This window comes from Homo sapiens, chromosome 7 (assembly GCF_000001405.40).
Source record: "Homo sapiens chromosome 7, GRCh38.p14 Primary Assembly".
Classification (NCBI taxonomy): Eukaryota; Metazoa; Chordata; class Mammalia; order Primates; family Hominidae; genus Homo; species Homo sapiens.
In genome coordinates this window covers 95,213,058-95,231,792 of record NC_000007.14, presented here as the reverse complement: position 1 = coordinate 95,231,792, position 18,735 = coordinate 95,213,058, and the positions used below count along the sequence as shown (strand labels likewise).

Sequence of the window (18,735 nt, the reverse complement as noted above, 5' to 3'; positions counted from 1 at the left end):
CAGACTTTTTGATGTAGTTATTTAATGCTATAAACTTTCCTCTTAGCACCGCTTTTGCTGTATCCCAGAGGTTTTGACAGGTTGTGTCACTATTATCATATAGTTCGAATAACTTTTAAATTTCCATCTTGATTGTTGACCCAACAATCATTCAGGAGCAGGGTTATTTAATTACCATGTATTTGCATTGTTTTGAGGGTGCCTTTCAGAGTTGATTTCCAATTTTATTTCACTGTGGTCTTAGAGAACTTGAGATAATTTCAATTTTCTTAAATTTACTGAGACTTGTTTTGTGGCCTATCATAAGGTCTATCTTGGAGAAGTTCCATGTGCCGATGAATAGAATGTATATTCTGCAATTGTTGGGTAGAATGTTCCACAAATATCTGTGAAGTCCATTTGTTGTAGGGTATAGTTTAAGCCTATTGTTTCTTTGTTGACTTTCTGTCTTGATGACCCACCTGTCTAGTGCTGACAGTAGAGTATGAAAGTCCCCCACTATTATTGTGTTGCCATCTATCTCATTTCTTAGGTCTAACAGTAATAAATTTCGGAGCTCCAGTGTTAGCTGCAAATATAGTTAGAATTGTAATATTTTCTTGTTGGACTAGTCCTTTTATCATTATATAATTTCTCTCTTTGTCTTTTTTTAACTGCTGTTGCTTTAGTTTGTTTTGTCTAAGAATAGCTACTCCTACTTGCTTTTGGTGTCCATTTGCATACGGTATCTTTTTCCACCCCTTTACCTTAAGTTTATGTGAGTCCTTACGTGTTAGGTGAGTTTCCTGAAGACAGCAGAAACTTGATTGGTGAATTCTTATCCATTCTGCCATTCTGTATCTTTTAGGTGGAGTATTTAGGCCATTTACATTCAATGTTAGTATTGACATGTGAGGTACTATTCTACTCATTGTGCTATTTATTGCTTGAATACCTTTTTTTCTATTGTGCTATTGTTATAAAGGTCCTGTGAGATTTATGCTTGAAGAAGGTTCTATTTTGGTGTATTTCGAGGATTTGTTTCTCTTTGTTTTGGGGAGGTTTTCCTCAATTATTCCCTCAAATATCCGTTTTCCAAACTTTTAGATTTCTCTCCTTCCTCAGGAACACTAATTATTTTTAGTTTGGACATTTAACATAGTCCCAAACTTCTTGGAGGCTTTACTCATTTTTTAAAATTCTTTTTTATTTGTCTTTGGTGGACTGGGTTAATTTGAAAGCCTTGTCTTCAAGTTCTTTCTTCTGCTTGTTTGATTCTACTGCTGAGACCTTCCAGTGCATTTTGCATTTGTGTGTGTCCTTGATTTCCAGAAGTTGTGACTGTTTTTTTATTTATGCTATCTATTTCACTGAAAAACTTTTTTCATTTCTTGTATTATGTTTTTGATGTCTTTAAGTTGGACTTCACCTTCCTCTGGTGCCTCCTTGATTAGCTTAATAATTGACCTTCTAAAATATTTTTCTGGCAATTCAGAGATTTCATCTTGGTTTGGATCCATTGCTGGCTAACTGGTATGATCTTTTGGGGGTGTTAAAGAACCTTGTTTTGTCATATACCAGAATTGTTTTTCTGATTCCTTCTCATTTGGATAGACTACATCAGAGGGAAGATCTGGGATTCAAGGGCTACTGTTCAGATTCTTTTGTCCCACAGTGTGCTGCCTTGATTTGGTGTTCTCTCCCTTACCCTAGGAATGGGGTTTCCTGAGAGCTGAAATGTAGTGATTATTTTTGCTTTTCTGGATCTAGCACCCAGTGGAGCTACCAGGCTCTGCACTGGTACTTGGGAGTATCTGCAAAGAGTACTGTGATGTGATTCATCTTCAGGTCTTGTAGCCATGGATACCAGCACCTGCTTTGATGGAGGTAGCAAGGGAGTGAAGTGGACTCTGCAGGGTCCTTGGTTGTATTTTTATTGAGTGTGCTGGTCTTGTATTGGTTGGATTCCAGCCAGGAGTTGGCACTTTCAAGAGCACATGAGCTGGGGTCCTATAGGGAGGATGCAAATTTGCCCTAGGAACACCTGGTCAAGTATTCAGGTTTCTCAGGCAGTCAGCAGGGCCACAGAGCTCCCAAGAGATTATAACCTTTGTCTTCAGCTACCAGGGTGGGTAGAGTAAGACCACCAGGTTGGGGGAGGGACAGGAGTGTCTTAGCTCAGTCTCTCCTTTGGTGGGGCTTGCTATGGCTGCTGTGGGGGAGGAGGTTGTGGTTCCCAGTCCAATGGAGTTATATTCCCAGGGGGATTATGGCTGCCTCTGATGAGTCATATACGCCACCAGGGAAGTGGGGGAAAGCCGGAAGTCATAGGCCTCACTCTGCTCCCACGCAGCCCAGAGTCCTAAAGGCCAGTCTCACTCCCACCGTGCCCTCCACAACAGCACCAAGTCTATTTCCAGGCAGCTTATGACCAGGGCTGAGAACTCACCCTAAATCACGAGCTTCCCTGTTGAGAAAGCAAGCAGACTCACACTTTTTTGGCATTTTAGGGAGCCTGCAGCGGTGATCCAGTTCCTTCAAAAGGTCTGTGGATTCTCTTGGCTTTCCTGGTATTTTCCTGTGGTAGTTCTTGGGGCAAAAGTTCACAATGTGAGTCTCCACATGCTGTTCTGTCCAACCAAGCAGAAGCTGCAGCAGTTCTCCCTCCTACCTGCCATCTTAATCCTCCCAGTTTTTGTTTATTTGAGATGGGGTCTTGTGTGGTTCTGTCACTCAGGCTGGAGTGCTGTGGCAACCTTCATTGCTCATTGTAACTTTGAACTCCTGAGCTCAAGCCATTTTCCCACCTCAGCCTCCCAAAGAACTAAGATTATAGATGTGAGCCAGCATGACTGGCCATGTGGCAGCTTTTATTTAACCCACTCCAGTAATATGTCCTGTTACTTATAGCTCGATACTTAGGTAACTTATGTATGTATGTGACTTATATAATGAATAAAGGGCACGATAAAATTTTAGGGAGGATGAGAAAAAAGGCTTGAATTAAACAAATATATTCCATGAACTTGGATTAAAAGATTCGATGTGATTTTTAAAATGCCAGTTCTCTAGAAATTTACTAGTTTAACATAATTACAACAAAAAATGCAGCGTATTTTTCAAGGGTATTTATAAAGTGATTCAAATATTTTCTTGAATAAGTTGAAAAATAAAGGCATTTTTGAAAAGTTGGAATGATGCGACTTAGCTCATCAATATTGACGTATATTCTAATAGTATTGCACTGAAGAAAAATGAGAAGATGGAGCAGACTATGAAGCCATAAGCAGTTCAGAAGGTAAAGGCACAAATTCTTTAGATAATAATGTTGGCCCTCCCACCAAAGGGAAATTGGTAAAGGAGCATTTAATAAAAGGGCTAGCCAACTTTTGTTGGCTATTTGGAAACATTAAATTGGGTACATGTCTTATATCATACAACAAATTCCAGTATATGTTTGACACCATTCATTCCATAAATATTTCACCACTAACTATATGCCAAGAATTGTACAAAGACTGAGGACATGATAATAAGCAAAAACATGCGAGCTTTGAGTTTAGCAGGAAGATAGATACAAAACAGGCCCAAAGTATGACTGATTGAGATAATGTCAGTCTAATGTATTTTGCCCGAGTAGTAAAACACATACTTTTGCTTAAAATAATTAAGACAATCCTGTAACATGAAACTTTGTAAAGACTCTAATACAATATGATCCTTCACACTCACCCCAAGTTTTGTGGATGATCCTGTGAAAAGTGCCCAGTGCTATATAATATTTGGACATGTATATTAATCACATAAAGAAATTTAAGACTATGATAGTGACAGTGTACAAGATACAAATGTCACAAAAGAGTGCCACACAGGTGATACACAGGGGCAATATTCTGAAGAAATGAATATATTAATGTTAAATGTAAAACAAAAGAGGATAAAAGAATTGTTAAGTGGAACGATGTGATATTGCCTGTTATTGAGGTGAGGATGAAATTCCAATTCTTAGAAACCAAAACTAAAATAAAGTTACAGATCTGGTTACTCAAGCTAAAAATAAATCAGCCACATTACACAGAATGAATCGAGATCACACAGCAGTCTACACCAGGGTCAGTAACATTTTTCAGTAAAGGGCCAGAAAGCAAATAATTTAGGATTTGCAGGCCATACAGTCTCTATTGCAACTACTCAACTTTGCTGTTGTAGTATGTTATCAGCCACAAACAATAAAGAGATGGGCATGCTTGTGTTCAAATAAAACTTTATTTATAAAAAGTAGCCCAGATTTGGACAATGTATCATAATTTGCTAACCCCTGGTCTAGATCACTCTACACAATGGTGCATGCTTAAAACAATATTTATGGAACTTTGAGTCCTTAGCTCAATTTTGAAAATGGAAGATATAACTTTCCATATATTATCTGTGCCCTGTAGGCTCTTCACCTCCCATAAAAGAATGTGGACCCTTCTTCCAGCTCAATTATCTACCAAAGACTAGGGGTCATACTCAACTGGTAAAATGAAAGAGCTGTATTATAGGCTTTCGCCAGGGAATACTATTTTGATCTCACTGCCTTCAATATTTGTTAAAGTTGGGTTGTGAGTTAAAATATTCTTAGAGAACAAGTCATCTACCTACTTTTCTTGATAACTTATATTCTTTGGCCAAATAAGGGCTGCAGAGAAACAGGTAACTAGATTACACCTCTTTCTCCCACTCAGCCACTTTCTGCAGACCTTTTCTTTTTCTGCATTGCTCTTTGGTTTGAAGATATCAGTTAATTTAGAAAGTCTTTAGAAGAAATGAACAAGTTGTAAATAATGACACATTTCTCTTCAATGATGGAGGATACTCTTCCAAAACAATGAAGGATAGATAAACTGCTTTGGGACCTATTAATCACTGTTTCTGTTTTACATGTGTCATGGTTCTGAGAAGCTACTTTGGAAGAGTTATCCACATTTCCTCTCCCAAGGTTCTATTCTTGGCCCTTCTCTGAGAGCACATTGCCTCAGGAGTCTGATCTCTTCAAACTCTGAGACTGCATCACCATACTCCCTTGCCTGGGTTTGGAAGCATCAGCAGAAAAGGAAAGCAGAGTCAGGGTGTATTCTTACCCTTGCCCCAAGGATGCAGCTTTTACCAGTGGCTGTGCATCTTATAAAGCTGCAGATGTTGATGGTAACAGCCTCCTGCTGTTGCCAGTCCCTGTGCACTTCACCACCCCTTGTTAGTACTATTAACTCTGTTCAAAGTCTGTGTATTAAACTCTCTTCAAGTAAACCCTTTGGGTATGCCATCTGATGCTTATTAGAAACCTATTTCATGAACAGAAAGACAAAAAGAGACTTTTTAGGAAGTCTCTGCCTTGAGAGAAAAGCTTATCACTAGTTACCAAAACTTCTGTAAAACTGAAAAAATATAACTTAAACATCATAAAACTGCACATTTAAGTTACTGCTTGAAATTATGGGCTACAGGTATGTCACTATGACAAATAAGCGTTTAAATCAATGACCGTGGAACGAGATCTACTTAAATTCTACTTGAAATTCAATGAGACTCAAGACAACCTGTTATTAAAAAGCTTTGATTTGCAAACTGATTATTCTTAATATATTATTTGAACAGAAATATATACTTAATGAAATGGACAGGCATAAAGAAATATTTTGCAGCTTAGTGGCATACCTCTTTGAACTTGTGACTGAGCTTGCTTGTGTCCAGTTCTGATGGGGAAAACATGTCCTCATTCTCAGGCAGCTCAAAGACTTCAATGGCCATGTCGCTGCCAGGAAGGACAGGTCCTACCTCATCTTCTTCTTCATCTGTGGCATATTCTCCTGTCTGAAAGGAAGGGGATTTCAGAAATCCAGCTGTCCTTACCCCAGGTGGAGGTGAGTTATTTGAAAATATTTTATAAAAGACAAGTAAGACATGTACCCAAATGGTAAAAGTGTAAGTAGGTTTTTCAGCCAAGCATGCCTCATGCAGCCAATGTTATAAACAAATGTTAGTTTAAAGATCCAAAGTGACAAACCTATGCCATATACAAGTGCGTTTCTAAAAATCTACTAGTATCAGTGGCATCTTTAATACAGAAACAAGAGTTGTTTTTTCTGAGTATTTGATTATTTTACCAAATAAAATTATGTTGCTGAGGGAAATAAGTCATTTCTTTAAATTCTCTTTGTGAATACGCCACCCAATACTGAGAGCAATGAAAAGGGAAGGGGAGTTTAATGAATCACAGAGTTGGAAGGGACCTTAATTAAGCCTTGCAAAGGTTTAGCTGATTAATTCTCCTAAGCGTTAGAGTTCAAACAGTTCTGTTTTGTTTGCTTGTTAATTATTGTGGTGAACTAGTGAGCTAAAGAATAAACCAAAGGTTTCTAACTTGCAGCCTGCACCAAGTGTATTGTTTTGCCTGCCTAGCACATTTACAAATCTGAGTATTCTGTCAATGTGAGAAAAATGTTTCACATAAAGTTCTAGATTTCCAGCTTTCCTTGAGAAAGCCAAGCATCCGTTAATATTAGGCATATTGGGACATGATAACAATTGGCCAGTTAGTAGTGGTTGCCCCTTTTAGAAGAGTTATATGCTTTCTAATACCCCACAATTTTTCTAATGTCATATAGTTCTATATTGTTAGCTTCACTCCTTTGTAATACCCACCTGTCCCTGTAGGTATCTGAGTTCCTGACCCCTGGAATAAACATTCCTCTTTGCCACTAACTTCCTTAACTTTATTAGAAAGTAGATCCTCTCCTGGCAGCATCAAGCTATGATACTGTAATTCAAAATAATTGTTTGAAATCTATACCTTATGATATAATTTAAAGATAAATCACTGACAGGGTTAAAAAAACAAAGTTCATTGAACTCATCCCTGTTCCTTCAGGTAGCACGTTATCTAACACATAAAACAGAGACAGGAATTCATATTGCCTTTAAAAAACTTCCATGAACGGTGTACTGAATGATCTATTCCTTTGAGTAAATAGGCTCAGCATCTGATTGCTGTTTTTTTTTCTTTTGATTCTGTATTATATTCTTCCTGCCAAAGCAGGAGCCCCTCACTTCCCCTTTCCCCCCACCTATGTTTGCACGTGAAGGAAATCTGGTCCTTAATCCCAATCTAATAATTCCCAATGTCTGAAAGACCATTATTAAATTGCCTTCAGATTTCTCTTTTTCAAATAAAATAATTCTAGTTGCCTCCAAGGTAATTTGCTGTAATTGTCTTTGTGGTTGTGCTCTGATTTCTCTCCAACTTTTCCACATTTCTCTAAATTGCAGAGCCTGAAAGTAGACACAGTTTCTAGTAAGGAATTTGAAGGTCATCAACCATGATGAACACACTGCCACAGCATCCTTCACACTCTACCTCCCCACACAGAGGCTATTATCATGGAGAACTTGACATTGGTGGCATCTGTGTACAGAAGTAAGCTCAGAATATTCCATGTGGAGCAATGATTTTCCAAACTGGTTACAGGTTAGTTGGAACCTTTACTTTCCCCAAATATAATCACAGGTGATTTGACTGAAAGGAAAAGAGGTTGGTGGCCTCCAGTTGGATCCTATGTATCTCCTGAGTACCTGGAACTCTAGATCTCTGTAGAAATCAGTCTGAAAATGTCTAAACTATAAATACCAATTCAAGTGTCTTTGCCACTGGCAGGTGAAGGTAGCTGAAGAATGGGAGCTGGTTGGTCAGATAGCTTGTACTTATTTATTAGCACAATGAGATCCTACAAATCTTAAAAAACTCTAATTCCAGATTTGGCTTTTTTTTTTCTTTTGTATTCTTGAATCAATTCATCTCCTGTTCATACCCATTTCTAGAACCAACAAATACTTGGTAAATTCCAGTGAAGTTAATTAATAGGAATGCAGCAAGACTGGCAAGTAAATAATCTCAAGATACCTTGCTGAAAAATTTTCATATAGAGGTATAAAACTGTGTACTTGTTTTTAACCCTATCATTACAAATGGCAGCAAAACCCAAGCCTTTATTATGAAGGCTTAAACCAGGTATATAGAACTCACTATATACAGCATTGAATGACTCAAGAAACTCTTATGCTAAATTTAAAGTATGACTAAGCCCTAACAATGTGGCACGTTTTAAACATGAGTTGAAATGAACAATTTGATTTCCTTTTGCTAGCTTGAAAATAAATACTTGTTCACTACATGTGAGAGAATTAATATAAATATGTGCCTAGGATGGGACCTGACATATAACAGGATCTCAGCAAATATTTTTAAAAGAATAAATCCAAGAATGCCAACGCATTAACTTGGTAATAGACAGAACTTCCTAAGGAGATTTTCAATATCAAGAAAATGAACTGTGGTCACTTGTTAAGAAGGCAGTAGTATATTATACTAACAACCTTACTGTGAATAACAGGATTAGGGTATGCATAACATATGCAATTCTTACCTTTTAGCTGCACTTTGTCATCCATATACACTTTCATTATGAAAATTATCTTAATAAACATACGTTGTTAAGCGTTCTTCTTGATTCTTTTGTGGACTTTGCCAGTATCCTCTCCTTCCCAATACCCAAATTACCTGCAGTACTGTTAAAATTCTTATCACTCATTTCATCTTTTCATTTACTAATGCCTTCTTTCTCCAATTAGCCTTATAAGCATCCTGAGGACAAATATGTCTTTTGCTGTCTTGATTCTACTTATTACTTATTATAGGCTAAGGATGGCATGTTTAAAACATTATGTTATAACTCTCTCTTGCTGATCATTTGCCATTCCAACCTTAAATAGGCTTTAGGATGATACATTTACTACAGAATCTCATAAATACCTGGAAATAAAAAAGTTACACTTAGTGGACTAAGAAAAATAGGTTCTTCTAATATTTTATCTTTATTGAAAATGGAAATTATTTTTGTGGTTACACTGCAAATAAAATAAGTAACATGGAATGTGTCAGCAGAATGTTGTAAACCGCAAAATTAGATTGGATTAAATCTGCCATTTACAAAGGAAGATGAACAATGTTGTACCAAAAAAACCCAAAACCAACAAAACCCAAAATTACTATAACAAAGTATTTCCATTGGTATCTAGCTCTATTTCTGTTCAAATTAAAAATCTTTCAAGTAACCAGAGACTCTTGAAATTCTTTGTCCTAACACGCAAATCCACTTCAAATGTGGCAGTAACAGTTTTTTGGGTAAAAAACTGACAGAGATAGTAAATTTTCCCTTTCATGTCTTTACCTACCTTTCTGATTAATATATGATATTTTTAGTAGCCCCACACAAAGGGGTAAAAAATGAAGAGCAATACTTTTGCAACTTACTGTGTGCCCAGCATTGGACATTCCTCAACAACTATGGGATATGGGTGTTACCATACTATCTTAATTTGAGGAAACTGAGACTCAGAGACCATACCTAAGGTCAATTAATTAAGTTGTTGAAGCTGCATTCAACATATTTTAAAGCCCATGCTCCTTCTTTTATGCTATGATGCTTCCAGTCTACAGAAACTAAAGTTCTGCAGAAAAAAAAATTGGGAATATATTTTTTAATGATCCCATCCCCAAACCTGGGTGGATAATCCTGTTGTATTGAAATTCACCTTCCACGGCTTTAAACATTATCACTGAATTCACTTTGAAGACTTGCACCTCTGTATAGTGGGCTCCAAAGTTCTTGTCCTCTTCTCTTCTCTCATAATATGCTTACCCTGGACAAGAATATAGAATTCCCCTTTGAAAGAATCGGGAGCAGTACTTGTGGGTTAATTGCAATACAGAGAGGAATCGCTGACAAACAAACGAACACACACACATATGCATACCATTTTATGTTAACTTAAATCACAGAAGTATTCATTTATTTGCTCATCTTTTAATTGCAGGGCCAAGTCTTCCTCTTGGCTTATGGGTCTGCTGACTGACATTTTATGCACTCTTGTATAAACTACAACCATAACATATAGTGTATGAAATTACTGTAGCATCTTTAAAACAGATGAAAAAGATCCTTCCAAGGCAAAATGAATGCAAAATTTCTATAGAATTTTATGGTTTTCCCCTCTTTTATATTTCCTTCTCATACCTAATTTTCTTGAGCTGCCAGTCTTTATTAAATCTTCCCAAAGCACTGTATTTAGTTTTCATAGATACAACAACTTCATTTACACACATATTACATCACTTAATATTTTATAAAATAACATAATTATAGTAACAAGTACAACCAACAGGTTGTGTCTCTTGGTAAACATATAACTTTTGACTAGTGGGAGACGTATGTAGACATACTAGAGCCTGGGACACTCATGAGAGCTATAGATATCAGTCTAGGTTTTGCAGAAGGAACAGAGAGTATCTGTTATATTGGGGAGTTGGTTAAGTGGGGATCAATGAAAGGATTTTGGTTTTGAAGTCACGTAGAACTGTGTTCAAGTCCTGGTCCTGAGACATTGGGAATTAGCGTCTATATCTAAGCTTTAATCTTTTCATCTATAAAGTAAGGACAAAACAGTTCCTTAGCATAAGAAAGCTGTCATAAGATTAAGTTAGATGGTGCCTATGTATTTAACACAAGGTCTGGCACATGGTAGGTGCTCAAAACGAGTGACCGCTATTGTTGCTGCTGCTGGTGTCAAAATACTGCAATAGCAAAATGCTAACGATTTTCTCATCTGTATCTTGTAACCACATTTGCTAAACTTTGGTCTCATAAATGTAAGTTCCTAGAAGACCTCAACACATGAATCTTTTATAAGCAAATTGGTCATTTCTGAAGTAAAACTTTTCCTTTCCTCTATATATACCTGTTCCTCTACTTATATTCCCAGTTTGGGGTAGGCACCAGCTTCTACCCAAGCCCAAGAAAACTTCCATGCCTCTGTCCTCCTCATTTACTGGCCCCAACCTGCCCCAAGGATTCAAGATGAATAACCGTGTACATGAGAACATCCTGTGAAGCTGCTGCCCTTAAGACTCTCCTAATTCACTCCTTTATGCTCCCACTGTATAGCTGACATCACTCATAATGCTTTGATGTTTCTATATCTGCCTTCTCTCATCAACTTCTTTCATCTGAACATTCCTAGAGAGTGCCAGGTACAATTTATCCCTGCAATCCCGGTGTGGCTAGTACATTGCTTGGCATATAGTGGGCACTGAACAAATGTTTGCTGAATAAATTCAGATAGTTGTAGCCACATCTGCATAGCACAGTAGAGCCTGATTTTCCTGTTAATCTCAGCTTTCCAGGATGAAATATAGTGAAACACAGCTGCAGCTGGGGCCTAAATGACCCTTCTGGGGATTTTCTCTTGTTGTTAGGTTCAACCATTAGCAGTAATTTTTGCTGTAGCAATGTTTGCTCTGGTAAATTCAGGGAAACTAAATGGCGCTAATCACAAAAATAGCCTTAATTATGCAGTTTTTGATGGAATTTGTTTACCGGATTTGAATTTGGTGCTATGTATTTTCAGACGCACTTCTGTGAGAGAATAAAGGAGAGCTGCTTCTTCCCTGGAGGAGGAAAACGTCAAACTCACATTTTAATGTTTAAAATTCCTAAATCTGCACCAACCATCCAGAGGCCTTTCGGCAAAAACATCCCTCTCTCTGCCGAAGCATCTCTCTTTCCATTTTTTTGTCAGTGACTCCTGTGTGTCCTAATTTTATAATGTTAGTACACTTAGTCTCTTTGAATGTTGTTTCCTCATCTATAAAATGGAAATAACAGCACCTTCTTCATTTAAAGAGGTTGCTATGAGAATTCATTGTAGTGATATGAAAGAGTTAACCACAGTGCCTAGAATATGCTAACTGACTGCATGACGTTATGATTATGATTGTTTTCACCATCCCTTATTTCTCCAGGACAACACCATAAACTAATGCAACAAAAAAAGCATTTGGGGTTGGAGAGATGAGGGCCAGAAGAGAGAAAAATCCTAATGTCCCAGTTGCATAACAGTAAGTAAGTCATTTAGTTTGTATCTTTTGTGGTCTCTTCTATAAAATGGTGTAAAAGATACCAATCTCATAGGATATTGAGAGGATTCGAAGAAATGAAATATGCAAAATATCCAAAATGATGCCTGGCCCAGCATATATATTTATTTTTTTCTCCCACTTATCAACTCATTCAAAATTTTCTTTTCAATCTTTTGTTATCAGAATATTTCCTGATTTTATCTGAAAGTGACAGGGAGAATGGAACCAAGTTGGAAAACACTCTGTAGGATATTATCCAGGAAAACTTCCCCAATCTAGCAAGGCAGGCCAACATTCAAATTCAGGAAATACAGAGAACGCCACAAAGATACTCCTTGAGAAGAGCAACTCCAAGACACATAATTGTCAAATTCACCAAAGTTGAAATGAAGGAAAAAATGTTAAGGGCAGCCAGAGAGAAACATCGGGTTACCCACAAAGGGCAACCCACCAGACTAACAGCGGATCTCTCAGCAGAAACTCTACAAGCCAGAAGAGAGTGGGGGCCAATATTCAGCATTCTTAAAGAAAAGAATTTTAAACCCAGAATTTCATATCCAGCCAAACTAAGCTTCATAAGTGAAGGAGAAATAAAATCCTTTACAGACAAGCAAATGCTGAGAGATTCTGTCACCACCAGACCTGCCCTACAAGAGCTCCTGAAGGAAGCATTAAACATGGAAAGGAACAACCAGTACCACCCACTGCAAAAGCATGACAAATTGTAAAGACCATCGAGGCTAAGAAGAAACTGCATCAACTAACGAGCAAAATAACCAGCTAACATCATAATGACAGGATCAAATTCACACATAACAATATTAACCTTAAATGTAAATGGGCTAAATGCTCCAATTAAAAGACACAGACTGGCAAATTGGATAAAGAGTCAAGACCCATCAGTGTGCTGTATTCAGGAAACCCATCTCATGTGCAGAGACACACATAGGCTCAAAACAAAGGGATGGAGGAAGATCCACTAAGCAAAAGGAAAACAAAAAAAGGCAGGGGTTGCAATCCTAGTCTCTGATAAAACAGACTTTAAACCAGCAAAGATCAAAAGAGACAAAGAAGGCCATTACATAATGGTAAAGGGATCAATTCAACAAGAAGAGCTAACTATCCTAAATATATATGCACCCAATACAGGAGCACCCAGATTCATAAAGCAAGTCCTTAGAGATCTACAAAGAGACTTAGACTCCCACACAATAATAATGGGAGACTTTAACACCCCACTGTCAACATTAGACAGATCAACGAGACAGAAAGTTAACAAGGATATCCAGGAATTGAACTCAGCTCTGCACCAAGAGAACCTAATAGACATCTACAGAACTCTCCACCCCAAATCAACAGAATATACATTCTTCTCAGCACCACATCGCACTTATTCCAAAATTGACCACATAGTTGGAAGTAAAGCCCTCCTGAGCAAATGGAAAAGAACAGAAATTATAACAAACTGTCTCTCAGACCACACTGCAATCAAACTAGCACTCAGGATTAAGAAACTCACTCAAAATCGCTCAACTACATGGAAACTGAACAAGCTGCTCCTGAATGACTACTGGGTACGTAAGGAAGTGAAGGCAGAAATAATGATGTTCTTTGAAACCAATGAGAACAAAGACACTACATACCAGAATCTCTGGGACACATTTGCAGTGTGTAGAAGGAAATTTATAGCACTAAATGCCCACAAGAGAAAGCAGGAAAGATAGAAAATTGACACCCTAACATCACAATTAAAAGAACTAGAGAAGCAAGAGCAAACACATTCAAAAGCTAGCAGAAGACAAGAAATCACTAAGATCAGAGTGGAACTGAAGGAGATAGAGACACAAAAAACCCTTCAAAAAATCCGTGAATCCAGGAGCTGGTTGTTTGAAAAGATCAACAAAATTGATAGACTGATAGCAAGACTAATAACAAATAAAAGAGAGAAGAATCAAATAGATGCAATTAGAAATGATAAAGGGGATATCACCACTGATCCCACAGAAATACAAACTACCATCACAGAATACTATAAACACATCTACGCAAATAAACTAGAAAATCTAGAAGAAATGGATAAATTCCCAGACACATACACTCTCCTAAGACTAAACCAGGAAGAAGTTGAATCTCTGAATATACCAATAACAGGCTCTGAAATTGAGGCAATAATTAAGAGCCTACCAACCAAAAAAAGTCCAGGACCAGACGGATTCACAGCTGAATTCTACCAGAGGTACAAGGAGGAGCTGGTACCATTCCTTCTGAAACTATTCCAATCAATAGAAAAAGAGGGAATCCTCCCTAACTCATTTTATGAGGCCAGCATCATCCTGATGCCAAAGCCTGGCAGAGACACAACAAAAAAAAAGAGAATTTTAGACCAATATCCCTGATGAACATTGATGTGAATATCCTCAATAAAATATTGGCAAACCAAATCCAGCAGCACATCAAAAAGCTTATCCACCATGATCAAGTGGGCTTCATCACTGGGATGCAAGGCTGGTTCCTCACACGCAAATCAATAAACGTAATCCAGCATGTAAACAGAACCAAAGACAAAAACCACATGATTATCTCAATAGATGCAGAAAAGGCCTTTGACAAAATTCAACAGCGCTTCATGCTAAAAACTCTCAATGAATTAGGTATTGTTGGGACATATCTCAAAATAATAAGAGCTATTTATGACAAACCCACAGCCAATATCATACTGAATGGCCCAAAACTGGAAGCCTTCCCTTTGAAAACTGGCACAAGACAGGGATGCCCTCTCTCACCACTCCTATTCAACATAGTGTTGGAAGTTCTGGCCAGGGCAATCAGGCAGGAGAAAGAAATAAAGGGTATTCAATGAGGAAAAGAGGAAGTCAAATTGTCCCTGTTTGCAGATGACATTATTGTATATTTAGAAAACCCCATCGTCTCAGCCCAAAATCTCCTTAAGCTGATAAACAACTTCAGCAAAGTCTCAGGATACAAAACCAATGTGCAAAAATCACAAGCATTCTTATACACCAATAACAGACAAACAGAGAGCCAAATCATGAGTGAACTCCCTTTCACAATTGGTTCAAAGAGAATAAAATACCTAGGAATCCCAACTTACAAGGGATGTGAAGGACCTCCCCAAGGAGAACTACAAACCACTGCTCAACGAAATAAAAGAGGATACAAACAAATGGAAGAACATTCCATGCTCATGGATAGGTAGAATCAATATCGTGAAAATGGCCATACTGCCCAAGGTAATTTATAGATTCAATGCCATCCCCATCAAGCTATCAATGACTTTCTTCACAGAACTGGAAAAAACTACTCTAAAGTTCATACGGAACCAAAAAAGAGCCTGCATTGCCAAGACAATCCTAAGCCAAAAGAAGAAAGCTGGAGGCATCATGCTACCTGACTTCAAACTATACTACAAGGCTACAGTAACCAAAACAGCATGGTACTGGTGCCAAAACAGACATATAGACCAATGGAACAGAACAGAGCCCTCAGAAATAATACCACACATCTACAACCATCTGATCTTTGATAAACCTGACAAAAACAAGCAATGGGGAAAGGATTCCCTATTTAATAAATGGAAAACTGGCTAGCCATATGTAGAAAGCTGAAACTGGATCCCTTCCTTATACCTTATACAAAAATTCATTCAAGATGGATTAAAGACTTAAATGTTAGACCTAAAACCATAAAAACCCTAGAGGAAAACCTAGGCAATACCATTCAGAACATAGGCATGGGCAAGGACTTCATGTCTAATACACCAAAAGCAATGGCAACAAAAGCCAAAATTGACAAATGGGATCTAATTAAATTAAAGGGCTTCTTCACAGCAAAAGAAACTACCATCAGAGTGAACAGGCAACCTACAGAATGGGAGAAAATTTTTGCAATCTACTCATCTGACAAAGGGCTAATATCCAGAATCTACAAAGAACTGAAACAAATTTACAAGAAAAAAACAAACAACCCCATCAAAAAGTGGGCGAAGGATATGAACATACACTTCTCAAAAGTAGACATTTATGCAGCCAACAGACATATGAAAAAATGCTCATCATCACTGGCCATCAGAGAAATGCAAATCAAAACCACAATGAGATACCATCTCATGCCAGTTAGAATGGCGATCATTAAAAAGTCAGGAAACAAAAGGTGCTGGAGAGGATGTGGAGAAATAGGAACACTTTTACACTGTTGGTGGGACTGTAAACTAGTTCAACCATTGTGGAAGACAGTGTGGCGATTCCTCAAGGATCTAGAACTAGAAATACCATTTGACCCAGCAATCCCATTACTGGGTATATACCCAAAGGATTATAAATCATGCTGCTATAAAGACACATGCACACGTATGTTTATTGTGGCACTATTCACAATAGCAAGGACTTGGAACCAACCCAAATGTCCAACAATGATAGAGTGGATTAAGAAAATGTGGCACATATACACCATGGAATACTATGCAGCCATAAAAAAGGATGAGCTCATGTCCTTTGTTGGGACATGGATGAAGCTGGAAACCATCATTCTCAGTAAACTGTTGCAAGAACAAAAAAAACAAACACCGCATGTTCTCATTCATAGGTGGGAATTGAACAATGAGAACACTTGGACACAGGAAGGGGAACATCACACACCGGGGCCTGTTGTGGGTGGGGGGAGGGGGGAGGGAAAGCATTAGGAGATATACCCAATATAAATGACGAGTTAATGGGTGCAGCATACCAACATGGCACATGTATACATATGTAACAAACCTGCACATTGTGCACATGTACCCTAGAACTTAAAGTTTATATATATTAAAAAAAAAGAATATTTCCTGATTTTTCACTCCATTCTCATTGTCTAGTCACCCACTCAAGAAACATCTAAAATCCTTCTCTAGATTACTCATATGGCGTCTGTGTTCCTTACCTTCAGGCTCTCACCTTGTCAGGTCATTGGTAATATTGCTGAAAAATTATTCTTCCTAAAATTTTGACCAAAAAAATCATTATTTGCCAATAAAATATTTTCCGACAACTCAAATCCATTCTTTAGTTTTTATCCCCTTCCTTTTAGAAAGTATACTCCAGAAGCTGGGACTCTATTTCCTACTATAGGAGGCAGACTCCAAAATGACCCCAATGACCTTGCTTTCTGGGTGTTCATGCCCTTGTATAATCCCTTCCCACTGAGTGAGGGCTGAATGACAGATTTCCAACAACCAGAATACAACAAAAGTAATGGAATGCCACTTCTCAGATTAGTTGAAAAAAAAAGACTGTGATTTGTGCCTCTTTTGTCCTCTTGCTCTCTCTCTCTCAGCCCTCACTATTGGGAAGCAAGTTGCCATCTTATGAGCAGGGAGAGGCCCACATCCCAAGGAGCTGATGTTTCTGGCCAACAGCCAGTGAGGACCTGAGGCCTGCCAGGTCACATGAGGGAGCCTGGAAGTGGGTCTTCTCAGTCCTGCCAACAGCTGTGAGTGAGCATGGACGCAGATCCTCTCCCAGTGGAGCATTTGGATGACCACGGCTCTGGCTAACACCTCACTTACAGCCTTGGGAGAGATTCTGAGTCAGAGGCATCCAGCTAAATTGACCCACAGACACGGTAATGTACAAATATTTCTTCTTTTAAGTTGCTAAGTTTTGGTGGTAGTTTGTAATGCAGCAAATTGAAGAGGGATGCTGCCAAAACAAATACAGAAAAAAACAGGGAAGTGGCTTGGAAACAGGCAGTGGGCGAAGGCTAGGATTCTGAAGAGTGTATTGGAGCAAGACTAAATTGCACTGCACAGATTGTGAGTGGAAACTGGAAGGGAGCGTGCTTATTATGTAGTGACACAAAGCTTAGCAACATTATCACCTTCTCTAACGAGAAAGTAGGAAGTGTTCCTTGTGAACAGGGTGATCTGGCTAAGTAGACTTCTAAACACAGTGGTGAAGGTGCAGCCTGATTTCTTCTTGCTGCTTGTAGTAAAATGTAAAAAGAATAGAGTTCAGCTGAGAGTACTATTAAACAGAAAGGAATTCTTTCTGTTTAAACAGAAACTTGATGGTTTTCAAAGTCTTAAAATTAAGTCTACAGTTAAGAAATGGCTTCCAAACAGAGTTCAAATCCATGGAACTGCCAGAAGAATGCGGTTTAAAAATGAAGCAGAATGTATAACCAGGCTGGGCGTGGAGGCTCACACCTGTAATCCCAACACTTTGGAAGGCTGAGGTGGGTGGATCACTTGAGGTCAGGAGTTTGAGACCAGCCTGGCCAACATGGTGAAACCTTGTTTCTACTAAAACAAAATACAAAATTAGCTGGGAATGGTGGCACTGGCCTGTAATCCCAGCTACTTGGGAGGCTGAGGCATGAGAAACGCTTGAACCCGTAAGGCAGAGATTGCAGTCAGCCAAGATTGCATCAATGTGCTGTAGTCTAGGCAACAGAGCAAAACTCTGTCTCCAAAAAAAAAAAAAAAAAGAAAGAGAAAGAAAGATAGTACAACCAATAAAATCTTAAGAATTCTGCCCTTAGGAAATTCAAATTTTTGAATAATGAGTGATAAACAAACCTGTCACTGCCTAAAGGGACATACTGTCTCCCAATGATACCAACATCATTGGAAAGATAATCTGAAACATAGGCTGCTGGTGCTGCTGCTGCTCAAAAAACAAGCAGAGAAGGGAGAACCCATGGAGGAATTGTCTCCAAACAACGTCCACCCTCATTTCTACACAGTCTTG

General features: G+C 38.3%; 1 protein-coding gene and 1 long non-coding RNA gene across 50 annotated transcripts in view; one reads left to right on the top strand and one right to left on the bottom strand.

Annotated features, from left to right (window-relative positions):
• The window catches only part of PPP1R9A (protein phosphatase 1 regulatory subunit 9A), a 389,180-nt gene that overhangs the window by 64,623 nt on the left and 305,822 nt on the right, over positions 1 to 18,735 (bottom strand). For 44 of the 46 annotated variants that reach the window (XM_047420574.1, XM_047420585.1, XM_047420580.1 and 41 more), the window contains one exon: positions 5,677 to 5,832. In XM_047420574.1, coding sequence (XP_047276530.1) covers positions 5,677 to 5,832 — 156 coding nt within the window. Of the gene's footprint in view, positions 1 to 5,676; positions 5,833 to 18,735 lie in introns of those variants that run through there. The other 2 variants (XM_047420596.1, XM_047420600.1) reach the window with 1 other exon arrangement.
• The window catches only part of PPP1R9A-AS1 (PPP1R9A antisense RNA 1), a 178,641-nt gene continuing 177,366 nt past the window's right edge, over positions 17,461 to 18,735 (top strand). For all 4 annotated transcript variants that reach the window (NR_183323.1, NR_183324.1, NR_183325.1 and 1 more), the window contains exon 1: positions 17,461 to 17,608. This is a non-coding gene — a long non-coding RNA (PPP1R9A antisense RNA 1). The remainder of the gene's footprint in view (positions 17,609 to 18,735) is intronic.